The sequence below is a fragment of the Homo sapiens genome, chromosome 11 (genome assembly GCF_000001405.40).
Source record: "Homo sapiens chromosome 11, GRCh38.p14 Primary Assembly".
Lineage (NCBI taxonomy): Eukaryota > Metazoa > Chordata > Mammalia > Primates > Hominidae > Homo > Homo sapiens.
The window spans coordinates 75,422,352-75,446,659 of NC_000011.10; the positions used below are offsets into that span (position 1 = coordinate 75,422,352).

At 55.8% G+C, this 24,308-nt stretch overlaps 2 protein-coding genes across 21 annotated transcripts in view, besides 7 other annotated features; both read right to left on the reverse strand.

The window, feature by feature from the left end:
• Nucleotides 1-42: 42 nt before the first annotated feature.
• Nucleotides 43-10,852, reverse strand: KLHL35 (kelch like family member 35). Its single transcript, NM_001039548.3, has 7 exons — nt 10,692-10,852; nt 7,398-8,279; nt 6,091-6,275; nt 4,169-4,287; nt 3,042-3,230; nt 1,341-1,529; nt 43-417 (listed from the first exon to the last, which is right to left on the reverse strand). Exons 2-7 carry the CDS (start codon nt 8,276-8,278, stop codon nt 229-231), a joined length of 1,752 nt encoding a protein of 583 aa, NP_001034637.2. The 5' UTR covers nt 8,279; nt 10,692-10,852; the 3' UTR covers nt 43-228.
• Nucleotides 5,853-6,147: an enhancer, noted in NCBI's record as "tiled region #12908; HepG2 Activating DNase unmatched - State 4:PromP, and K562 Activating DNase matched - State 8:EnhW". NCBI's record gives its function as "activates a minimal TATA promoter and a strong SV40 promoter by Sharpr-MPRA in HepG2 and K562 cells {active_cell/tissue: HepG2 | K562}" and the evidence as "EXISTENCE:reporter gene assay evidence [ECO:0000049][PMID:27701403]".
• Nucleotides 5,853-6,167: a biological region, named in NCBI's record as "Sharpr-MPRA regulatory regions 6111 and 12908".
• Nucleotides 5,873-6,167: an enhancer, noted in NCBI's record as "tiled region #6111; HepG2 Activating DNase unmatched - State 4:PromP, and K562 Activating DNase unmatched - State 8:EnhW". NCBI's record gives its function as "activates a minimal TATA promoter and a strong SV40 promoter by Sharpr-MPRA in HepG2 and K562 cells {active_cell/tissue: HepG2 | K562}" and the evidence as "EXISTENCE:reporter gene assay evidence [ECO:0000049][PMID:27701403]".
• Nucleotides 7,832-7,881: a silencer, noted in NCBI's record as "silent region_3764". NCBI's record gives its function as "represses an Ori minimal core promoter by ATAC-STARR-seq in GM12878 lymphoblastoid cells {active_cell/tissue: GM12878}" and the evidence as "EXISTENCE:reporter gene assay evidence [ECO:0000049][PMID:35858748]".
• Nucleotides 7,962-8,201: a silencer, noted in NCBI's record as "silent region_3765". NCBI's record gives its function as "represses an Ori minimal core promoter by ATAC-STARR-seq in GM12878 lymphoblastoid cells {active_cell/tissue: GM12878}" and the evidence as "EXISTENCE:reporter gene assay evidence [ECO:0000049][PMID:35858748]".
• Nucleotides 9,490-10,376: an enhancer, noted in NCBI's record as "H3K4me1 hESC enhancer chr11:75142886-75143772 (GRCh37/hg19 assembly coordinates)". NCBI's record gives its function as "activates a minimal SCP1, AML or CMV promoter by ChIP-STARR-seq in primed H9 embryonic stem cells {active_cell/tissue: H9 hESC(primed)}" and the evidence as "EXISTENCE:reporter gene assay evidence [ECO:0000049][PMID:30033119]".
• Nucleotides 10,853-12,288: 1,436 nt separating the features above from the next.
• The window catches only part of GDPD5 (glycerophosphodiester phosphodiesterase domain containing 5), a 91,302-nt gene continuing 79,282 nt past the window's right edge, over nt 12,289-24,308 (reverse strand). For 11 of the 20 annotated variants that reach the window (XM_047427654.1, XM_047427653.1, XM_047427649.1 and 8 more), the window contains 8 exon segments: nt 22,062-22,144; nt 20,785-20,935; nt 20,012-20,230; nt 19,295-19,452; nt 18,812-18,959; nt 17,528-17,610; nt 14,585-14,697; nt 12,289-13,304 (listed from right to left, as the gene is read on the reverse strand). In XM_047427654.1, the coding sequence (XP_047283610.1) occupies nt 13,156-13,304; nt 14,585-14,697; nt 17,528-17,610; nt 18,812-18,959; nt 19,295-19,452; nt 20,012-20,230; nt 20,785-20,935; nt 22,062-22,144 (1,104 nt within the window). In that variant the 3' untranslated portion in view covers nt 12,289-13,155. 20 annotated transcript variants of the gene reach the window in all.
• Nucleotides 18,587-19,149: an enhancer, noted in NCBI's record as "H3K4me1 hESC enhancer chr11:75151983-75152545 (GRCh37/hg19 assembly coordinates)". NCBI's record gives its function as "activates a minimal SCP1, AML or CMV promoter by ChIP-STARR-seq in naive H9 embryonic stem cells {active_cell/tissue: H9 hESC(naive)}" and the evidence as "EXISTENCE:reporter gene assay evidence [ECO:0000049][PMID:30033119]".

The window sequence follows — 24,308 nt, forward strand, 5'->3', positions numbered from 1 at the left end:
GTATAAAAGTGCTTCATCAAGAGTAAACACAGGGAGCAAATATTAGACATTCCATCTCCAGGCAGGGCAGACTGCAGCTGGAACACAGACCCAACAAGATTTTATTTATACAAGAAAAGGGACCATTAAGTTAAGGGCTGTTTGCGTGGAGGTGCCATGAGGGAGCAGAGTGTGCATCTGAGCTCCGCCTGCCTCTCCGCCTCCTGGCTCAGGCTGTCCAAATCTGAATCACCTGCCCAAGCTCTGGATGATGGTGACACAGCCGTGGGAGCTGGTGCAGCGCTGCAGGGATGGCTGGACCTCCACCTGCCCACTGCTGGGGTCAAAGGTGAAGACCTTATCGGTGCTTTCTCCGCGATCATCCCGCCCGCCAAGGATGTGGACCTTCCCGTCACACACAGTGACTCCACAGCTTTCCTGGGTGGACAAACAGAAAGACAACTATCAGGTCCAGCCTGGGGCTTCCTCTGTCCCTGCCTGGCCAGGCCAGATAATAGAACCTTGACCCACAGACTGTGAACAGGCAATCTGGACTGTAGAGAGGCAGGAAACTGGATGGACCTGAGTTCCAGCTCTAGCTTGACCCTTATTCAGTGAATGGCGTTAGGCAAGTCACTTAACCTCTCTGGACCTCAGTTTCCTCATCGGCAAAGGGAGAAGAACTAAAGTGCCTTCTTCACAGGGTTCCCTTAACAGTTAATGGAAGTTAAGCATATAAAGCATTTTACATAGAGCCTGGAATGTGGTAAGCACACCAATAACAATAATCTCGACTGCCGCCATCTTAGAATCTCAGACTCAAGCCAGAAATCTCACCTCTAAGGTCACCAAAGGTCAGAACTGGCAGAGACCTCCAGTCCAACCATATCTGTGTAGTCTCTGGAGTTTCAGGGGATGGAGAAGAAGGTAGGGGAGGCAGGGAATTGCAGGGGCCAGAGCTTCCAGGACTTGGGCCTCCCTGCTCTGATATCACTAGAGCAGACCTTAGCAACTCCCTTCCCCACATCTTACCTCATGATTGGTTACTAGCAGTGGCCTTCGGGGCAGGAGAGACCACAGGGTCATTTGGACCAAATCCCCACTCAAAGCTATAGCACTTGGGACTGCAGGGTTCTAGGCTCTGCCTTAACAGGGCCTAGTTGTTGGCCTGGGCCAGGTGCTGAACCTCTCTAAGGCCAGTCTCCTCATCTGTGAAATGCATGGTTCACTATCACTGTGAGGATGAGCTAGAGAGTGATGTATAATAAAACCACCTAGGATGGAGTCACAAGATTCACAAGCTCCAAGATCCAGAGCCTTAGAAGCGGGTTCCGCTCTCCTGCCTTGAAGCCTCCACTTACCACAGGGCTGGGGAGGACAGCTGCCTCCCCCCACACATCTGTGCCTGGATCATAGGTGAAGATTTTGCTCATGAGACCCCCCATGACATAGATGGTGTCCTCAAGGGAGACAGCCTCGAGACACCGCTGTGAGAAGGGTGCTGGTGACCGCAGGCTCCACCGGTCCTCCTTGGGGTCAAAGCACTGCACCTGAGGGGCAAGAGCAGCAGTGGTGAAGACTCACCGCCCCCCCCAACAAATGCCCCACCGCCCACATGCTGCCACCTCTCCCCCCGGGGGCACTCATTCAAAACGACATTTGCCAGTGTCCACCAGGCCTGAGCCAGCATCTGGGAGGGAGGGGGAGGTCCACCGTCCCTGCCCTCAAGGGCTCTTCATCTAGTTCTATGTTCTGTCCTCTGCCTCTGGACTCCCTTTGTCAAAAGCCTCCTCATCTTTCGAGGTCCTGCTCAAATGCCACCCCATCCTTAAAGGTCTCCCTGGTGTTCCCCCCTCCCCTCACCCCTCAACACACACACACAGGAACAGTCTCTCCTTTGATGGAGAACACAGTCGCCTCATGTTAGATTAATCATAGAGCACATCATACTGAGCTGGGAGAGGTACTGTCTGCTTTAGGGTTATAGAGGGTCCTCAGAGCAGACCCCCGACGGGGATGTGTTCCTAGCTGCATACACTGTCAACTCCCTTCTCTTTTCCTGGTGCTCTCAGGTCATTAGATTCTAGCTGAGGTGTCTTGCAGCCCTATTTCTACAGCTGTCCACATGCCCATGGGTGTTTCTGATGCCCTTAACAGTTTCTGTATTTAGCTGCCTGCTCACCTCACTCTCTGTTTCCTCAACTGTTTCCTTGGAGACCCCCTCCCCCCACAGCAGCCTATAACAAATCAGTGCTGCATGGATGGTGTTAAATGGGGCCTCCCACCATGAGTGCCTATCACTCAGCTCCAGGAGGGTTTGCTGGAAGAATGTGGTCAGGGAATAAGGAAGCGTGGGCACCCTAATTTGGGAAAGAGTCAAGTCCTAGGACCACAGGCTTATGAGGCCATCAGGGGAGGGAAGGAACTGCTATGATAAATATTTTTATTTGCAAAAAGCCTAAATGTCCCAACAATAAAAGATGAGTAGACTCTAGTTCATCCACCATGTGGAATAGTACAGACATTGAAATGATGGCTGTAAAGTTGATAATCACGTGGAAAATGCTCATACCTAAATTAGAATAAAATGCAGAATGCAAAATTCTAACAAAACAAAACTGTAAGAAAAACAAAAATCAATTCAGTGGAAGCCTGTAAGGCAACACACCAAAATATGAATAGCAGCTCTGCCTAGACGGTGGGATTATGGGTTTTTTTTTTTTCTATTTTTCTGTGTTTTCTAAATTTTCAGTAGTAAGTGTATTGTTTTTGGAATGGAACAAAAGCATTTTAACTATCTTGCCCTCAATTTTTAAAATGTATGAAACTTACATGGCACCAGCCCAAACATTTGAGTCCCAGTGTGCTGCTGACCCACTGTGTGACCTTGGGGTCATTTTTCTGCTCATTTCCTTCCCTGAAACATGGAGGTGACTGGTCTGGGCTGTTGATGGGATTAAGTGAATAAATGGACAAGGGCATGGAAACGCCCAATTCTGCGCCTGGCACACAGTGGGCACCCCAGCCTTCAACGCCCTCTCGCGCCTGAGGCCCACGCCCACCTTGTCCGTGTTGACGCCGCCCTGCCTGGCGCCCCCAATCACGAAGAGCTTGCCCGCGCAGGACGCCACCGCCGCCGAGCTCACGGCCTCCGGGAGGGGCGCGGCGGCCGCCCAGGTGTTGGAGAAGGGGTCGTAGCGCTCCACGCTGTGCAGGCGCCTCAGGCCGTCGAAGCCACCCACCGCGAACAGCTGCAAGTGAGGACATGGGCCGGGGAGCCGGGTGCCAGGGCCTTAGGGCCCTCGGCCTCATCGCTTCAGTCCTTACAGTCTTTGAGCTGGAAACTATCCCTGTCCCCAACCCAGTTTCAGGACCAAACTGACCCCCGAGCCCAGTGCTGCCACCACCTGGGCAGCCTCCACCCAGTTGCTGTACCTCCCTGAGCCGGTTTCCTCTCATTTAGCGGGGATGAGACCTTAACCTGCATGGTTACAGCTGTAAAATACCTGGCACCAAGCTGATGCTTAATAATAATAGCTAGTATTGAGACTTTACCACCCCACTTAATTGATTCTAAGAAGCATCTTTGTTTCTGAATTCGGGATGTAGCTTACAAAGATAATTGACTTTTTTTTTTTTTTTTGAGACAAAGTCTCGCTCTGTTGCCCAGGCTGGAGTGTAGTGGTGCAATCTGGGCTCACTGCAAGCTCCGCCTCCCAGGTTCATGCCATTCTCCTGCCTCAGCCTCCTGAGTAGCTGGGACTACAGGCACCAGCCACCACGCCGAGCTAATTTTTTGTATTTTTAGTAGAGACGGGGTTTCACCGTGTTAGCCAGGATGGTCTGGATCTCCTGACCTCGTGATCCGCCCGCCTTGGCCTCCCAAAGTGCTGGGATTACAGCCACTGCGCCCGGCCGACAGATTCTTTTATTCTTGAGTGGCACAGTCAAGATTCAAACCTAGACTCTATGGCCCCAGAGCCCATACCCTTGACCATCAGGCTGTTACTATTACAGTAATTGCTATTATTATTAGCATCAGCCATTATTATGTGACCTTGGACAAGTCTCCTTTTTTGGGGGGCTTCAGACCCCTTCTTACAAAGAGAGGGTTTTAGAGAACCTCCCTCCAGCACATCCACAGATCTGTACCTTGTGTCCCAGGGCAGCCGCTGCAGCTCGTGCCTACCTGCCCCTGCACAACTGCCATCTTGTGCCTCCACCTGCCCTTGTGCAGAGAGGCTACCTTGATCCAGGTGTGCAGATGGGAGCTAAACATCCACACATCATGACTGTTGATGTGGCCTCCTAGGGAGAGAGAAGCAGCTGTTGCCCATCGGCTCTCTTGCTATCCCAAGCACCCCCAAAGAGCTAGAAACTAGGGCCCCCAGATCCAAAGGAAGGGTTAAGGGAAGGCAGCAGGAGGACTTCTTGAGCTGGTGTAAGACTCTGGACCTGTGACCCAGTGTGCTTTGAATAAGTGGTGGGAATGTCTGAGTTACGACCCTCGAGGGGAGAAGCCTGACACATTCAGGAAGAAGGGGCTGGTTTTCGCCGGGCACCTTGTGGTGGTGGTGGTGGTGTGCCAGGCTCTGTGCTCAGGAAAGCAAAGAGGGGGCCGCTGTACTAAAGGTAAGAGTACAAAGGGTACCTAAGGCAAGCATCTGGAATGTACTGGGGATCCAGGAAAAGCAGAGCCAGCTGCACTGGGAGCCAGGATAGGTAGAGGGTGACCCAATAACCCTCCCTCCCTTCTGCCTTCACCTGCACAATTTCATTTCTGATCTCATCCCTCCATGAGGTGTTGGGAATATTAGACCCAGTTTACATATAAGAAACTCAGATGAGACTTAGAGACCAACAATGACCTGCTGAAGACTACATGGCCTTTTGTCAGAGCCAGAACCAGAGCTTCTGGCTCCAGGCCCAGCATTGGTGCTGCTGGAGGACATGGCATGCCCTATGGGGCCAGGTACTGGGGATGCAGGATGTGGACTCTCCCTTCCCATGTCTGGCCACCCTGGGGATCTTGGCCAGGGATTCACCTCTCAATGGGAGCCTCCCTGGGGACAACCCTAACTGCACCCTTCAGCCTGAGCCTGTGACCAGAGCCACATCTGTTTGGTAGCCCCATCTTTGTTTATTCCTAGTGGCACCCAACAAAGGCCCCACATGTTGCTCAGAGCCATCAATGGCCTTGGATAAATTGTCCAGTGGTAATCTGTGGCCTGGATGGTCTGTGAGGCCTCCCTGGCTTATTCTCCTGCTCCTTACTCTTTGCAGGCACCCATAGTTCTTTACAACATTAAGGTCAATCCACCTAGCCCCAGACTCAAAGCCTCCCTGATCTGACTCCTGCCTCACCTGTGATACTCAACCTGCACTTCAGAGCCCTGAGTCCCCAGGGTTCCTTTCTGCATGTCCCTGCCCTTGTGCCTTTGCCCATACTGTTCCCTCCAACTTTCAAGGTCCAGCTGAAAAGTCATCTCTTCTATGAACCCTGGCTAGATTCCCTGAGTGGCATTCCAGATCATCTGGGGACTCTGAGAATTCTGATCACATTCTGCCTGGCAGTAAAAGTGAAGTCTCTCTCCTCTCCAGGACACTCCAGGGGAGCAAGGACTGTGTTTTATGCTTCTCTGAGTCTTTAGGGCTTGAGCCTTAGGGAGGACACAGTTTGTTGGTATCAAACAGATGTGTGTTCCTCCTAGCTTTGCCATTTTTGAGACAATGGGGGAAATTCTGAGCCTCTCCGAGCCTTTCTTATCTGTAAAACAGCATTGTAGGGGGATTTAATGATAACGAATGTAAGCTTCTTAGCATAATGTTCGGCACATAGTAGGCTAGTTGAAGTGATTATTAATACTAATACGAATTGACTTCCTTAGGAAGCCGGTTCAGAACAAAAAGTAATCATATGTATTGAAGTTAACATTCCTGAATAAAGGGCGGGTCACACGCGTAGTTAGCCCTGCTCACTTCAGCCAATAACTGTAGGTTATCAGAAAACATCCCGCCCCTCTCTCCCGATTGGAGGGAAAAGCAAAGGGGGTGGAGTGCGGAGGCTACTAGTCAATCCCGTGTGAGCTCCCGTTGCGGCTCCGCCCTCACCGGAGACGTAGACGTCATTGCGGAGAGCACAGGCGGCGAATTCTGAGCGAGTGTAGCCGGGCAGGCTGGGCAGTGGGGTCCACCGCTGGCTCTCTGGATGGTAGGCATCGGCGAAGGGCAGCTTCAGGAGACCTTTGCGGTCGCAACCGCCGATGACCACGATCACTTCAGCTAGGTCCATGAATCTGGCGTGCGGATAAGCCCAGTGCCTGTTGGGCCGCACCCAAGTTCGGCCCTCTCTTACCCTCTCGACCACACTGCACGGTCCCGCTGCCCTTTCATGCGTTTCTGCCATCACCCCCGCCCACCCGATCCCCCGGCCTCAATCCCGCTAGACCCTGCCACTTCCAACTTTGCCTGTGGGTACTGGGAAGAGAATCGCTAATGCTTACCGCATTCTGCTGACCTCTAAACTACAGAAAAAAAAATCTTTACAGAGCCCTTGCCCTCACCTAGAAAAATCACCTCGTTTAATCTGTATGGCAGTTCTATTAGTAGGGATTATTACCCCTTTCTCAGGGGAGGAAACTGAGGCTCACATACCATGGCGTGCCCAAAGCCATTAAGCGTCAGAGCTGGAATTCAAGCCCAGGTTTGTCTGTCGCTAACTCATCTTCAACACCCTTTTCTCACCTCCAACCGCTGATTCTGCTGCCTCCCTCCTCCTATGACATCCCCTCATCCCTAATTCCATTAAGCCGGATAACTCACCCTTTCAGTAAATCATTCTTCCCTCTCACTGACCCCACCATCTGACGCCACCAGAATTTCCATACCCTTTTAGCCATTGGTTTTCTAATTCCTTTGGCACATATTTGAGGATCTCTGTCCCAGGCCCTGTGCTTAGTGTTAGAGAGAGTGTCGTCTCTGGGGGCATGATTAAGGGCTACTCTGCCCAGAGCCTCCCAGTCTGGCTTTCCAAAGGTGGGGCAGGCTGCTTTCACTACTTCCCCATGCCCCTGCCTATTTCTATCCCTCATTAGACTGCGAGCTCCCAGAGGGCAAAGAGTGTTTTCAAATCACTTCCGCATCCCGGCACCCTGCACAGAACTTGCGTAGAGTAGTAAGTACTCGGAATTACGGTTGCATGGGCCAAAGAGAGTGTGCGCAGCTGTGGGGTCTCTGCATCTCCCTCACTGGCTTGTTAACTCTTCAAGGGCAGAATTATGGGCACCGAGCCTCTAAAATGTTGAACGAATGACTGAATATCATCAAGAGGCAGTACTAAAAGATGATGAAAGAATGAATGAGCGGTGGAAGCAGGCGGGAAGAACGGAGGGCGGGAAGCTAGGGGATGGCGGCCCTACCTCCGCGGCCGGGTCCGCAGCGCACCGGCCTCGCGGCCCAGGATGAAGCAGGCGCGAGCCTCGAGCAGCAGCGGGCGGCACTCGCCGCAGGCCTGCAGCAGCTCGTCCGCCTCCACCTTCTCCAGGAAGTAAGCGGGCGCCAGTAGCGGCAGGCGCACGTGCTCCAGCAGGCGTCGCAGCTGGCCGCGGCGGGCCGGCGCGTCGTGGCGCACCCAGCGCATGGCCGCTTCAAACACGGCCTCCTCGCGCGCCACGCCCAGCGCGGGGTCCGCCAGCAGCGCCACCACCTCGTCAGGCGCCAGCTCCAGGAAGTCGGCGTGGCGCGCCACCTCGGCGAAGGCCTGACGCAGGACGCGGCCGCAGCGCTCGGCCAGCGGGGCCAGCGAGAAGGCGGCGGCCACGCGGCGCAGCGCTAGGCTGTTGGCGGCGCGCAGGCGGCCCTCGAGAAAGCGCACGCAGGCCTCGCGCAGGCCCGCCACGCCCAGCCGCTCCGCCAGCGCCAGCACGGCCGCCGCCTCGTCCTCCGCGCGCAGCCGCACGCCCGCTCCGTACACGTAGTCGAGCACCACGGCCAGCGCCGCCGCCGCCCCGGCCGGGCTCGTGCCTGGCGCCTCGGGAGCTACTGGCACCACTGGCACCACGGCCGGGCCGCGCTCGGGCCGCCCGGCCGCGAACAAGCTGCGGAAGTAGGCGCTGCCCGCGCTGAGCGCCGCGCGGTGGCACGGAAAGTCGCGCCCGCCGGCGCGCAGCACCACGTCGGTGAGGGTGCCGCTCCGCCGGTAGGCGTTCAGGGCCTGCAGCACGCGCTGCGCGTGGCACGGACCCGCGCACGGCGCTTCGCAGCCCGGCTCCGACTCCTCCGGCGCATGGCCTTGCCGCATCCTGCCGGGGAGAGAACACAAACAGCGTCGGGGAAGCCACCTGGCTGCGCCCGGGAGAGGCGACAGCCCTCATCCGTTTATTTCCTCTCTTGACCATTTGTTCAGCGACTCTCCCCTCCGTTCAGCATCCAGGTTCCTTACGGCTACAGTGCCCCAGCCCCGCCTCACCAGCGCGACATTCTGCCCTGCCTACCCACTCAGACACAGTGCCCTTTTCGGTTCTTCAAACTTGCTAAGCGTTTTCCTATCGATATCTGCAGGTAACAGATGGCACGCTCTCAAACAGGGTAATCGGAGGAGGGTCTAATAAAGGAACTATTTTCAACAGCGGAGTAGGCGTTAGGGACTCCAGTAGGAGTAGGGCTGTGTCCCAGGATACTAACAGCAGGGCGCCTTGGCCGCCCCGGGGTCTGTAGCGGGAGAGCAGGGAAGTTACTGGAACCTGGAAATATATCTGTGTAAGGAGGGTCCCGTGACAGGAGCTGAAGCCCTGGGTCAAGGGACTCAGGCTGCCCCACAGAGACCCAGTGTGTGCATGTGCAGGGGAGAGAGGGTACAATAACTCCACCGCCCTCTGCTCAATCCAGCCTGTCTCCTGCCGATCTCCGGTAGGTGCTGGACACTGACCACACCCTGAGCACTCCCCTGACAGACAGCATCATACACACAGCTTTCGCGCAAACGAATTCGACAAGTATTTATTGGGAGCCCTTTCTGTGCCAGGCAGTGAGCAAGACAACCATAGTTACGGTGTGCCCGGAGCTCCCAGCCTGGCGGGGGTGCCATGGGGAGGCACCGGGTGTTAGGGGAGTTCATAGAAGGGCCGCTGGACCCAGGTGGAGGGGAGTCAGGGAGGGCGTCCCTGAGGGGAACCTTCCAGCTGAGAAGGATGGGCGAATTCTGAAAGGTTAGAGCCCAGGCTGAGGGAAGCTGGCCCTCTCTCTAGTGAGTTCTCTTGGTGTTCTCCAGGTAGCACCGTCAGAAAGTGGAAAGAACTCTAGGGACAAATGGGGATTCTAACCCAGTGCCTGCCACAGGCTTACGGTGTGGCCGGGGCAAGTCACTCCTCTCACCTGCCCGCCCTGGCCTCAGTTATCTCATCTGAAATGGGATCATCATCCCTACCTCACAGGGCTGTGGCTTCATGACTATTACATGGGCTGTATGAAAAGTGCTAGTACACAGTACGAGCTACATGGGTGTTTCCCTATATTGCTTTTACTCAAGAGGAAGGGAGGACACTGTGTGTGCCAGTTGCTTTTATAGACATAATTTAATTTCATCCTCACAAGCTGAGAAGTTTCTTTAGCCCACACCTGCCCCTTTAGTTTGTCATAAGGGAAACAAGCACACACAGGACACCCGCCCTTCAGAAGTTTGCGGCGAGGCTCAGCAGAGGGGTGTTTGTGAAGGCGCTCTGCAGACTGAGGGGCTGGGCCATGCTGGTTATGATTTGGCCATTATGAACACAAAACCTCTGCTTGCACACCTCCAGGGACAGGGAGCTCCCTCCTTTCCATCAGCTTACTCTAGGGGGCTCAGGTCCACCCTCTGCGCCCTGCCTCTCCTTCCATCCTCCTGCTCCCAGCTGCTCTGCTGCCTCTGGAGGTCAGATCCCGCCTAGTGTCAGCCTGGCTTTCATGCCCTGGTCATCCAGGGCAGCGGATCCCCTGGTCAGCATCATGAGAGATGAGCTCCCTGGTGGGCAAGAAAGTTAACTACTTTTGCCCAAGTAGAGCGACTGGATCCTGAATCCACCTGGCTCCAGGGTTTGCATGCCACACTTGCCAGGGTGGGGGTGTGTCCCAAGGAGCAGCCAGGACCGGTGGAAGGAAGTGAGACCGGTCATCACAGCACGCTGCAACCAGTCTGTCCTCCACTGGCTCAGAAAGCACAACCATGCTCTGAGTTGAGACTCAAGAGGGCAGGTCTCATCAGCATAAGGATGGACTTCTTGCAAAGGTGCCCCACAGCACAAGCAGCTCCCTGGGGGAGAAAGAGTCCCCTCCTAGGAAGTGTGTCAGTACTTTTTCATTTTACTGTCTACTGCGCTGGGCACTCTGGACACACAGTGACATCAGATCCAGCATTCACTCTGGGGATCCCCAGTCTGGGGGTCAAACGACACCCAGTTGGAACACAGAAGGTAAAAATTCCCAGGTAGGGCTCAATGGGTATCCTCCCTTCTCGGCTGAGTCTAGGCACTTCAAGCCAGGGGTCATGATGCAGATTGAAGGGCCCAGCCTATAGAAGCTGACTCGAACATGCCACCATCACTCTTTTACACACCCACATCCACTTGAAGCCATTACCCAAGCACCTCCTCCGCATCCTCCCCATCTCAGACTTGCGGACACCACGCAGCCGGGTCAGCCCTGCAGCCTAAGCCTTGCCCCATGCACCTGGCACTTACCTGGCCATACCCTCTCCCAAGTGCTCCGCAGCTGCTGCTCTCACAGGTATCACTCCCGTTTGTGCCTGCCGCCCGCACCCCTGGCAGCCCAAGCTCCAGTGTTCATGCTGCTCTGCCCAGACTCCCGTTTGCTGTTCGCTCGGGCTCAGCTGCGGGAGGACAAAGGGGCTGGACGCCAGGAGGGAGGGGAAGGGAGGGGAAGGGAGAAGCGAGCAGGGAGGGGGATGCTGGGCTTTTGTTCCACTCTTGGACTAGCCCTGGGAGGGAGGGAAAGAAAGGGGGGGCATAAGAGTGGGATTGACTGTGTGTGGAACTCCAGGATTTGGTATGCCTGGGTTTGGGGGTGACCTGGTGCTGGCCTTGTCCCGGAATGACGATGGGTTCGAAGGTGTGTGGTGCTGGAGTTGGGGTGTGGGAGGGGTGTCATCATGCAGTTGTAGGCATGTAGGTTTCAGGGTGACTATGCGTGATTGTGGAAGTACATGGAATGAAGTGACTGTGTAGCATTGGGCTGCGTGTGGACATGTGGCTGTGTGACCATGTAGATGCCAATGTGACTAAGCATGTGGGGCGGGGGGCACAGTGGCTCTGAGTCTCATTCCCTTGAGCTCAGGGAGAGGCGGGAGCTGACCTCTGCCCCAGGAAGCAGAGCACTTGCCAGACATTCAGTAGCAGGGGCAGGAGGGCCGGTCCTCGAGGTTACTGTGGGGGCCCAGTGGAGCTTCCAACATTTGCAGAGGGCTCTTTTCTTTTTTACCTATAAGGTGCCAGAATCTCCTAGACCCCAAGAATTCTATCCAGAAGATCCCTGTTTGGAAGAGACACGTCCCTTGGCTCCCAGGAAGCATGGAGTTAATTTGATGCAGGCTGGAGCTGGGGCTCAGCTTCCCCCTTTTCCCTCAGGTCACACCCATGACCAGGCAGACTCTCAGGACAAAGAGGGGAGTTACAGGCCTGCTCTGACACCACCACTGACTCCTGCCCACAGACAGCAGAGGTCCCAAGGACTGGAAGGAAAGGACACCTGTGGTCCCAGGGCTGTACTTTGGCTTTCAGCTCAGGTGCCCCCAGTCCTGGGCATGGGCATGGGCCCTCCTCAGGCAGGTCCAAAGCTCGGAGAAGTCAAAGCCAAACTCCTGGCATGGGGAAGAGGCCTCCCTGTGCTGAGGGCTTGTCCCAACATAGCCGGGAGGTTCAGAATGCCTTCATGTGGCTGTGAGGGCACCTGCCAGTCCCACTCCCAGCCCTACATTGGACCCAGGAGCCCTCCCCCTCTGCGTGTCATTCCTAGCTTATGGGAGGCACACATATGCGCTGGGGCCAGAGTCTGGATGGGATTCTGGCTTGGCCTGTTCTAAGCTGTGTGGCTTTTGGAGGTCACTTTACCTCTCCAAGACTGTCTCCCCATCCACCATATGAGGATACCGGCTCCCAGCCACTGGCACCATGGCGGACCCAGGGAAGGGGAGGCACCATTCTGCCACTTTCCCATTCATTCCTGAGAATGGTTCCTCCTCAGATTATAGGGTCAGAACTGAAACCTAGACCCAGCGCACTTGTCCCCACCCTCCTGCTGGCAATTCAGAGACAACACACATCAAGATGGCAGCTTTAATCACATTGGCCAAGGGCCCTAGGTTCCCTCTGTTCAGGCCCACTTAGCCACACACCCACCCTGGCCATATCCAGAACACTTCTACCAGGTGGGCCCTGCCCTGTGGCCACTGATGTGGGAACCTGAGGTCACATCAGTCTGTGGACTCCTGGGTTAGGTGACCCTTCTGCCTTGAGGTCTGCTGGACACCTGGGCATGGGATCCAGTAGTCCTGAGCTCACTCTTTTGGCCATCTCCAGCTGCTCCTAGAGGACGTGGCTCAGGCCCGCTCCTGGGGCAGGGGGTTGGCGGTGGCATGAGGTGGGTTGGGGAGGAGGACGTGTCTCCACATTGCAGCTGGCTTCCTCCTGGGCTGAACCTCCTTGTGCTTTGAGACTGACAGGAAGAGCAGAGTTGCTTCAGGTAGAGGCTCGGCCCAGGCCCTTGGGGCAGGATAACAGCAGAGAACTCAGGTGCCTCCTGGCACAGACAGGAGGACAGATGGCACAGGTGAGCATCCACACACTCCATTGCCACAGGGGGTATGGCATGGCCCATGACCCATCAAAGCTTCCAGGTCGGGATACAGGAGAGGGCCTCAGAAGAGGGGGACCAAGCCCTAGGCCCCATACTTCCCAGAAGGAGCCCCAGGCCTGCAGGGGCATCTGAAAGGATGGAGTCCTGGCCCAGCTGGGCCTCAGGAGACAGGGAGTCCCCCTCAAGAGAGGCTGCGGCTGACAAGGGGCTGGAGCCCACAAGGAGGCTGTGGAGCCCGCTCCCAGAGCACTCCGAGTTCAGACACACTTCCACCAGCTCTCCTAGGCTCCCCAGCTTCTGTGTCAGGTACAGGTGGGACAGACATGTCTTCAGCTAACGCCCACTCCGCTCTATGAGGGTCTTGGTGTGGCTGCCACCCCCTCGGGGGCCCACAGGGGTGGCGGTGCTGTTGGCATATGTGTCATAACTGTTGTCTGAACATACGGAGAGCACATCGGAGACCTCTACACCATCGCTGATCTCTGCTGGGCCAGAGGGAGACAGAATGTGAGTCGGGGAGGAGGCAGTCGTGAGGATGGGTGACAGATGGGGCAGGAAGGCTGCACCACCCAGCGGGGCACTTGGAGGCTGATGAAACCACTGGGCTCAGGTCGACATTGAGCCTGGCACTCAAGGCCCCTTTGGTGTCTGCTGAGCACTCTAGCTTCGCCTTCATCTGCTGTCCCCTGGGACTCTGCAGCCACAGAAAACCACCTGTGCCCCTGAGCTTGGCACCCATGTGTCCACTCTCCTCAGGGCCTTTGCATGTGTCAGCCCCTCTCTTAGGAGTGACTGCCCCAACAACACCTCCTTTTCCTACAGTCTGGCTCAAGTCTTCTCATCTGTCACTCAGCCTCCTGGGAACCTCATCGGAGCCCTGGGCCGAGTTAGGGCCTCCTCATGGCAACTCCAGACCCTGCTTCCTTCTGCCCTGGCCATATTCTGTATGGTTGCTGCCTGGGCCCCCAAAATACCTCAAGGACCAGGGTGGGTTCTGGGCATCTATGTCCCCAGGGCCTGGTAGAGTGCTGGACACAGAGCAGAGGCTCAAGAAAGCTCTGCTGAGTGGAGTTCGGCCATATAGAGGGACACTTCATTCTTGGTGCCCAGGCAAGCGGTGCTCCCTTGCCACCTCTGCACACATGCCGTGCCCACCTGGAATGCCCTTCCTTCCCTCAGCTCACTCGGCCCTCATCTTGAAGCCATTACCAAAGCACCTCCTCTGCATCCTCCCCATCTCAGTGTATCAGGCGCCCAAAGCCTTCCTCACTGCCCAGGCAGCTCTGACCACGTCCTCCCGCCCCCCGCCCGGCACTCCCATCGCAGGAACTCGACTTTCCCTGCCACTGTTTATATACGTAGCTGCTGCTTCCATCAGACTGGGAATGTTGACAGGGACTGGCAAAGAGCAAGGGTGAGGCCAACATTGTAGGATCCAAGTACGAACCAGGCAAAGGGGGATGGGCCTTCAAAACAGACTCCTCTCCCTACCCCACCCCTGCCCACCAACCATGGCACTGACACCAAGCCATGGTGGATGACAGGGTGGATGACTGTGTGTGTGGGGGTGTGTGTTTTCACACGTGTACTTATGCCTTTGTATGTCTGTGGGTATAATCCCGGTGGGTTTATGTACGTCTGTGCCCTTGTCCCTACCCATATGTGCCACATGTGAATGTGTGTGCATACACATCTGTTTGCATGTGGGGGTGCAGAAAGCTGGGCCCAGGGCCTGCCTCCACCTGTCTGCAGGGCTGTGTACCTGAGAAAATAAGCTTCTCCTTCATGATGCTGACGTCCCGGCTGGTCCGGCGCACCGCAGCACTCAGCATGATCTGCTCAGGGTTGTAGCTCCGTATGCCACCCAGGCGCCACCTGCAGAGATGGCCCCGTGGGCATCAGGTCTCTCCTCAGCCCTCCCTTGGAGCAGAGACCCTGCCTACTTCCAGAGCCTCTCTGGATGTGGCCCAAGAGACCAGCAGGACTCTTGTCCCACTGTACAATGGGGAAATAGGCCCAGAGAGGGCAGAGTTGGGGCTTGAATCAGAGCCTACTGACTCTCGGCCAGGGCTCCCTGGCCTCCCTCTTACCTCCAGAGCCGCCAGTCAGCAGCCCTGGCCCAGGACTAGGGTTGGTTAGTTCTGTCTCAGGTGTCCCCAGTAATGCACCTGGCTCTCTTTGAATGGGACAGATTTGGGAGCAGGAGGAGCTTAGTAGGCACGACTCTGTTGACCTAAGCTGGGGCACACACCAATCTCAGGGAGTCCCAGCTGATGTCTCTTATAGCTCCACCATCATGACCAGACTAAGTGAAGCCATTGGGGAGACCCCTTGAGAGGGAGGGAAGGAAAGCAGGGGGGTGGGGCCAGGTGGTAGGGGGCTTTGCCCAGAGCTGGTCTGCACAGGTTCCCAAGGCAAGGGGGTTAGAGTGACTTGGAGTGGGGCCAACTGCTGCTCTGTCCTGGCAGTCCTAATGCGGAGGGAGGTCAGAGCATGAATCCCTCTGATGGCTGAGACAGGTGCAAGGTGGGGGTAAAATTACTCAAGAGTGGGCTGGGAGGTGGAGCATGCACAGGGCATGAAGGGACCAGGCACTAAGTGGAAAGGACTCAGGTTTCTGTGCCCAGCCCAGGCCACTGTCTTCACTATTGTCATTCCTCTGAACTAGCCCCAGTCCCTGGCCTCTGAACTTAGACCTTTCCTGGGATCTAGGCAGAAGGATCACTGGACTCTCACCCCTGTCCCCACCAGGAGGAGGGGGTGATCAACTTGGGAACAAGAACCCAACTGCCTCAGGGACTGAACCCTGCTTGGGGGATGGAGAGAGCCAAGACTCCACAAGAAACCAACTGTGAGTTACTAGATGGGGTCAGCGCAGCAGAAGTGGACAGACAGATGGACAGGCGGATGGATGGATGAACAGAGCAGGCAGACAAGGGGAAAGCAGGAGGCGGGGGGTGGCACGGACACCCTGGCGAGGCTGGCTGCCCTATGAATCATTGAGGGCAGTGAGCAAATCTCTCTCTGTTCATCGCTGTGCCCCAGTACCATCAGTGCCTGCCGTGTCCCGGGAGCCTGACCTGTACTTGTTGAGTGAATGAATGGAAGAATAAGGCCCACAGGGAAAGAGTATCCTCCCCCGGCCTTGTCCCCCAGGGTACCTTCCTCCACCAGGCCTCTCCTGATCCCCAGGAGACAATGACACTGCCCTGGCTGTGTCTGAGCAGACCCAGCGTGTCTGTGCCAGCCACTGAATCACCATGGGGTGGCCTCCCCAGCACCCTGGGGCTCCATGTGAGAAGGCCCAACTCCTGCTGCAGACAGCATCAGCAACCAGTGTATGTGGATGTTGGTCAACTGGGCGGACACAGGAATGACTCAAGGAATGTCCCATAGCCAGGGACAGCATCTCCTCCTAGAAGCTGATTGGTGAAGCTGCCTGACCCAGGAGGGGCTAAGGCACTAGACGGAGGGAGACGTGGGTCCCTAAGCTCTAGGTCCCATCCTGGAAATTCATGTTGAAACCCAGAAGGACAGTGTCAGGCCAGGGTCTCTCGGCCAGGCATATCCAGAACAGGAAGCTCAGCCACTGTGGGGTCCTCTGAGGGGAATGAGGAAAAGGCTGTGTGTTGCGGGGAGCAAAGCAGGGATGGGTGTTAGAGATAGAATGTAAAGAAGAGAGAGAAAGAGATGGGAGAGGCAGAGAAAGGTAAACAGGAAGAGTGAACAGTGGGAGAGGCAGAGCCAGGGAGGGAGAAGATGGGAAGAGAGAGGCAGAAACTTGGTAGGGTCTGCCCTGGGCAAGTGGTGAAGGCCCCTGTAAGTGCCAGAGGCAGGGGGATGGGGGTACCCAGGCAGGGTCCCCTCCCCCAGGGAGACACTTTGGTGCAGAGAGGGGCCAGGTCAGGAAGCTGTCAAGGAAACGCTGGTCCCCACCTGCAGAAACGGCCGTGGGAACAGGGAGCAGAGGGACACACACGGCAGTGGGACGGGAGGAGCAGAAAAGAGGATTGCGGGGGTAAGGGAGGCTTCAGGCGAGCGCGCTGTCTGCGAGGTGGCCCGGGCACAGGGCTTGGTGCACGGTGGGTTTTTAGACAGAACTGGAGAAGGGATGGCAAGAGGGAGAAAGAGGAACAGAAGGAGGAGGAAGACCACACCAGAATTACCTGATCAAGTGATAGCTGTGAGATGCCAGAGTGCAGCAGAGAGAGGGGGAGGGGGAGAGAGGAGGGACATGCGCCGATCAGAGCAGGATGGGACAGAGAGAGAACATCAGTCAAGAATAAAATCCCAGCCCCTTGGTTCCTGGCTGGGTGGGGGCCCCAGGCTGGCCCTAGACCCTCCCTGGGACCAACCACACCTCCCCACTGCGAGCACACCCCAGCTATCTTGCTGAGGGCTGGTGGGAACCCATGCCCTGGCTAACAGATGAGCAGGCCAGCCCGGTGAGGAGCTGAAATTCACCTAAGCCCACATAGCCACCCAAGGCAGAGCTTGGCTCTGGGATCCCAGCTGCATGTTCATTCCAGAAGTCACCCAGCCTCTGTCTGAGGGAGGATGGGGCCACCGGAGTCCGTCCTTCTTCCCTGGTCAGGCCTGCTCCTGGCTGAGGCCCAGGGCTCAGGAGAGGGTTCACCTGGCTGGGGTGGGGGCTGGGCCTGCTGCAGGGTAGGGACAGCCACGGAAGTGGTCAGATCCTACTCACTTCTGGAGCACGAAGATGCCCACGATGAGGGTGAAGGAGACCAGGTCGGCAGTGACCCACATGAGACAGTACTCGTCCGGGGGCTGTGGACAGACGGCCCGAGGCCAACTTCCAGTCATGGCCAGTCCAGACTGAGGCTCCAGACTGAGGGTCCGTGGACCAAAGGACCCCACATGGCCACTGGGGAAGGGCAAGGGAGGACCCTGAGAGGGTCTGGGGGCTGAAGATGACATTTTGCAGGTGTAGGCTCCAGGCGCTGTGGGCCTGGGGGCCGGGGCGTGTGTGTGCACACGTGTGCACTCTCAGGGTAGGAGGGGACTGTATGGTGCTCAGGGCAGAGGGGTTGTGTGCTAGGCCTGCAGGGTCTGTGTGTCTAGGGTCCTCAAAGCAGGAGCCAGATACTGAAAGACAATGGCTTTGCCGCCCCCCGCTGCCGACTCTCATCCATCGGTCTCGACCCTTTCCCCAGGCTGCCTTCCCTTCACCCTCCTCTCCCATAGAACCATCCACAGCTTAGGTCTGATTCATTGGCACTGCATTCTCTCAGCCATAAGGATACCCTCCACCTGCCTTCTGCATGCTCAGGGTGACAGTGGAGCCACCACCTATCTGCAGGTGCCCAGTCAACCAGCTAAAATATTGCTTTATTTGCTGTTCTCTGAGCAGATTTTAATTGTTTCCTATTCTTTTTTATTTTTATTTTTTGAGACAGGATCTCACTTTGTCATCCAGGCTGGAGTGATCACAGCTCACTGCAGCTTTGACCTGCTGGGCTCAAGCAATCCTCCCACTTCAGCCTACCGAGTAGCTAGGACTACAGGCGTGTGCCACCTTGGCCAGCAAATTAATTAATTATTATTATTTTTTTTTGTAGAGACAGGGTTGCCCAGGTTAGTCTTGTACCCCTGGGCTCCAGTGATCATCCTGCCTCTGCTTCCCAAAATGCTGGGATTATAGGCGTGAGCCCCACGCCCGGTCAATGCTTCCTATTCCTGTCCTTGTTACCCTCCAAAGCAAAGAAACCCAAGCAGCTCTTTACTTCTTTAGAGCCCTTAGTGATGCTTTTCTCCCTGTGGATGAGGCCCAGGGTCCTCCCAGCACCTTAGTGCAGATCCCAGATGCCATGAAACCCTCATGCCTCAAGCCTGCACGCCCACCATGGACTCCCCACCATGCTAGAGACCTCCCAGGGACAGCTCCAAGCACAGAGCTTGCCGAGTGGTCAGGGCAGGCTATAGGCAGCTCCAGCACTGCCCCCCAGGGGCCCTCTGCCCCCCAACTCACCATGATCCAGAGGGGGGAAGGCACCTGGGACAGGGCGTGGGAGTTGTCAGAGGTGACGGATGGGACCCCCGCACACCACAGCAGGGAGAAGAGCCACGGTGCGTTGACTGTGTAGAGGTTCACACTCAGGTTCCAGGACGCGTAGTCCCTGTGGGGCAGGGGAGAGGCAGGTCAGCATGCGGACCCTGGCAGCTCCAGGCCCAGTGTCGGGGCTGGTAAAGCACGTCCTGTTCACGACCTCACAGCCATGCCCGGGGCAAGGAACATTGGCTCCAGAGGGCCAAGCTCCGGGACAAGCCCGGGTCTGCCCGACACGCTCACCCTCTTGTCTTTGAACCATGTGTGCCTGATTCCTCTGTGTGCCCATCCCTCTGCCCGACCGTGTGTGTGTGTGTGTGTGTGTGTGTTGGGGGGTGGTGGTGGCAGGACTGGGAGAGACTCAGTCCCACCCTCTCCTGGAGGAGCCCAGGGCAGGGCAGGCACCTGAGCTCCTGGCGGGACACCTGAGTGTAGCGCAGGTTCAGCCGCTGGATGTGGCCTCTCCGCAGGCTGGCGACTGCCTCCTTGGAGCCTGATGTCTGTTGGAAGCCGGGAGCCACCTTCCGCACCAGGGGCCTCTGCCTGCTAGGCAGCCACATGACCTGCAGGCAGAAGAGAGGCAGCCTCAGACTTCTCTTCTGCACGATGCGTAAGAGTACCTACTCCTCCTAGAGCACCTGTGGGGTTAAGAGACAGGACCTGGCAGGCGGTGAAAGCTTAGATGAAGTCATTAGCAGGGCAGGACTCAGTCCCAGCCAAGGCTGCAAAGTGCACTGGCAGCAACTCAGGAAACTTCGCTTCTGGCCTGCTGTCAGTACGGGAGGGAAAACCCAAACAGCCACTACTCTGCACATGGCCACTAGCACCTAGTGTGCCGTCCTAAACTGATGTCAGATTTCTCTGGTCCCAGATTATTACACCAAACGACAGGGCAACACTTCACTGAAATAACTTGACCGCCTGGACCTTTATACATTTTAAAGTGTTTTCTTGTTCCCCTCTTGTCCCATGATGACCCTGCCAGGGAAGTGAGCAGTGTGTGATCCCCATTTTACAAATGGGAAAGCTGAAGTCCGGAGTGCAACAGGGAAAGGCTATGCAGCAGCAGGGCTCTAGCCAGGCCAGGGCTCCCGGGGGCAGAGCTGCGTTGCAGGGCCTCACCTGGTGCTGGGGGAAGCCGGAGTGCAGCACGGCCTCCAGAGTCACGTTGATAAAACTGCTGCGGTAGGGGTGCTCCCGGGGCGGGTCACGCAGGTTGAGCAGCAGTGTGGCATTGCCCTTGGCCAGCTCCAGGAGCTCTGCCAGGCTGCAGATGGACTGGTTCTGGGCCTCTCTGTGGTCGGAGGGTGACAGGGAGCTGGCTGTCCAGAAGGGGTCAGTCTGGCAGGGACAGGGACACACACATGGCTGCATCATCAGCCCTTTGGGGGCCCCCACATACCCTTCTGGCAACCAAGCGTGGAGACCCCTGGGCTGCCAGAGTCTGCTGGGGTCAGGCAGATTGATGGCTGTGGCCATGTGGAGGCTGTAGGAGGCCCCAGCCCTAACCTTTCTACCCCACACCCTGCTTACCAAGAGGACGGAGGACGGCTTGCTTGGAATCGCTCCCAGACCCACAGCATTTCTCCTTCTAGAGCATTTCAGATCAGAGAGCCAACCCCTCTCTAGAGTTTTACAGAGTTAAGAATTCTATTCACTGCTCTCATCCCTGTCAACCTTTTCTAGTGAGGGAAATGGACCCAGAACAAGCAGTGACAACCATGAGTCTGGCAGCAGTGGCAGGAGCCTAGGAGGCCACTAAGCAGCTTGGGTGGAGGTCGCGAAAGCTCTGAGAGTGGGGGTCTCGAAGCTGATGGCCACCCTTGCACCTCTCACTCCTTGCAGTCCCTGCTGGTGTTTTCCATGCCTAAGATTGGGATCAGGTGCAGCCAGACCTTCAGGAACCACTGGCCAGCGTTGAGTCTCTGCAGGGTGGTCCAGTTAAGCATGGAGGCAGGCCTGCGGGCCAGCTCCGGGAACTCCTCCTCCACGTTGGTGGTGCGCCGCAGGGTGGTGTCATGCATGAGGAAGGGCACGCCGTCCAGGCTGCAGGGAGGGTGGGGCCACCGAGTCAGTGACCCCCCAGATCCTTTACCTGCCCACCAATGATCGTCACCCCACACAGTCCTCCCCACCCAGCACAGGATCCCGGCTGGCTCTGCCCCTCTCTGGGCCTCAGTCTCCCCATCTGCACAGGGAAGACAGTGGGCTGGTGGGTGACCCTGAAGGTCCAATGCCTTCTGGCTCTCTGTGAGGGTCAGATGGGGGTGGGGACTGCCAAGGAGGGAGGGCTGGGAAAAATCTGGACCTACTCTCTTAGCAACCTTGGAAGGTAGGTGCTGCCTCATTTGACAATGGAGAAACTGAGGCTGAGAGAGGGAAGTATCTAGCTCAAGGTCCACAGCCTGTAAGTGGTGGAACCCAGTTTGGAACCAAATCCCTGTGATGCTATGATGAGAACAGTGCAAATGTAGACCTCTTTGGCAAATTCCACCCAACCCCAATCCTTGTCTACTCTACCAGGGTTGCAAATAGCTCATATGGTGCCTTAGTGTGAAACAGTAAAAGGTACCTGTGCCCTCTGTTCCTCAAGGCATTTTACCACCATCTGCTAGAAAGTTGTGATAAACACACAATTCTATGTCTATACTGGGAACAATGTCCTCATTTATGTGATGCCCTTGTTCAGTATGCAACCTGTACAACTATATATGACAGTTCTGCCCTTCTTCCCTTCTCAGATAACCTCTGTTATGAGATTAGTATGGATTCTTCCTGCCATTTATACTAATATCTACTTATATATGTACATGGAGAAAGTGTATATGTCACTTTTTTGTGGTATTTTAAAACGTAACTGGAGTCACAGTGAATGTATCACTCTGCAACTTGCTTTATTTCCCTCATGAGAGTGTTGTAGCTCTATCATCTATTTTTCCCTTCAAGTGGCTCTGTGGCAGTGCTCCTGCTTGCACCAAGAGCATTTGTTCTTTCCTCTATTTTACATCCTGGAGTCTGCAGGAACAGGGTGCCTGCCCTGCTGTGGATAATCTAAGTCTTCCTCCTCCCATCTCAGAGGCTCTGAGACCAGAGGTTCCCCCAGCAGAGACCCAGGTGGATGCCGAAGCGTGTGGGAGGGGTAGAGGAACTATCTCCCCTCCGCTACACCTACCTGATGGTAATGTCAGCCTGGAGCCCGTACAGCTTCTGCTCGAGGGCCTTCCGGAAGGACATGAGCGTGTGCTCTGGAGCCAGCTGGGGAAGAAGGGGTGGTGAAGGGAGAGCCAAGATTCAGCTGATGTACCCTCCCCAGCCAATGGAAAGTCTTTCATGTTGGGAGGCTGGGCTAGGCCTGGTTCTAATTCTGGCCCCTCCACAGAGTAGCTGTGTGACCCTGGGCACCCACTCAGCTTCTCTGAAGTTCAGCTTCCTCATCTATTAAATCATGCCTACCTCATTGGTTTTACTGGGGGCGGGGGAGGCAGGGCTGGTTAGTGTTGATGCATATAAATGCCTGACATGTAGCTAGCACTTGACACATGGTAGCTATGGTCACTATGTTATCATTGCTCTATCCCAGGCACTGAGCTAGACACTGGGGCTGGAGGGCTTTTTTACAGTCCTCTGTGGCTCTCTGGCAGTCTTGGGCTGGGGCTGAATGTGAAATTCAGGTTATACCCTTGGTTATACCAAGGGTTATACCCTGAGACAAGTCCAGGGGGGAGACCTGGAAGAGAGGGTAGATGGGATGGTAGAGTTTCAGTGCGGGACCAGTTTCCTCATCTATATAAACATGACAGCATTATTTCCCTCCCTGGACTGTTACGTGAATTAAAAGCCTCTAGCACACTGCTTGATATACACAGTAAGTGCTTAATAAATAGCAACTGTTTTCCCCTTACATGATCCTGGTTCTAGCATTTTTTTAAGAGACAAGGTCTTGCTGTCACCCAGGCTGTAGTGCAGTGACACAATCACAGCTCACAACAGCCTCAAACTCCTGGGCTCAAGCAATCTTCCCGCTTCAACTTCCCAAATAGCTGGGACTACAGGTGCATGCCACCACACCCAGCTCTGGTTCTAGCCTTGACTCTGCCATTAACTATTGTCCTGACTTTGGGTATATTTCTCTGTGGGTCTCAGTTTCCCCATGTGCCCCTTAGAGATGTGTACTCATGAGGGTCTTTATGCTTAGGACAGTTGGGATTCAAGCCTCCCTAGTTGGGTCTCATCTGAGGACTGTCATACCCGTTGCTGCCACTGGGGGTCAGCACCAAACCAAGGATTGGGCGAAGACCAGGTCCATGAGGGATGGTCGGAGGGAAGGAGGGAGGGAGGACACCCCCGATCCCCCTGCCCTGCTCTGTCAGTGAAGAGGTGAGGTGGGAAGGATTCCCATGGCTGATCTCATTCATTCCCACTGAAGACAATCCTGTTCCCACCTTCTCTCCCTCTGGCCACGATGTTCCCCAGCCACTCCCCTCTTTTGTGACACAGCCTAGCACTGGGGAGCCAGGGAGTGGTGAGGGCTTTGGAACGGACTAAAAAGGTGCAATTTCACTTCCCAGACACAGAGCTGGGGCCTCAGTTTCTTTAGCTGTAAAATGGGCTAACATTATCAACCTCACAGGTGAGATAACAAAAGTCACAGACCCTAGCCCAGGACCTGGCACACAGCAGGGTCTCAGTAATGAGTTTCTTTCTTCTCCTGTCCCTGGCATACAGCACTCTTGGAGGACATGTTACCTGTCTCCCAGTCCAGTGGGTTGTGTGAGGCACTCCCAGGGGAAGCAGGACTACAAAGGCATGGAGAGAGAGGCAAGGACTCAGTGGAATCCCACCCATCTCTGAATATCCTGCGGCCAGGCCTTCCATCAGGGACCACTTGACAGGGGTCCACGCTCCCTGCTGCATGGGCTGGGGCTGCAGAAGGCAGAAGCTTGGAAGGGGTTGCGAAGACCCTCAGGGCAGAGGAAGTGTTTGGGAAGGGGAAAGTCTTTTTTGGAAGCTTTTAGACACAGTTAAGTTCTCTCTGGGTTAGGTGCTGACCTCCTGGAGAAAGAGATATGGAAACCTGGCCCTCCCTGGCCAGGCTCAGGACTCCAGGAAGGCCCCAGAAGCATACACGTTGCTGGGGTGAATTCTTAGTCCCCGTCTCAGAGCTCGCACCTGCCTCAGGCCAGTCCAAGTGGGGTTCTGTTGTCAGGAGGGTGTGCATAGGGGGGTGGTGGTTACTCAGGTGGGTGGGACACTATGGTTAAGAGACCCAGATTTATAAAACAGCAACTCAAAGTACTATTAAAAAAGAGTCTTAGCTTCAGAGTTAGTGCAATCAAATATTAAAGTACACGTACACACATGCACAGAGGGACAGGCCACATCTGCATAGGAACAACACATCCAGGGACACACAGACAGT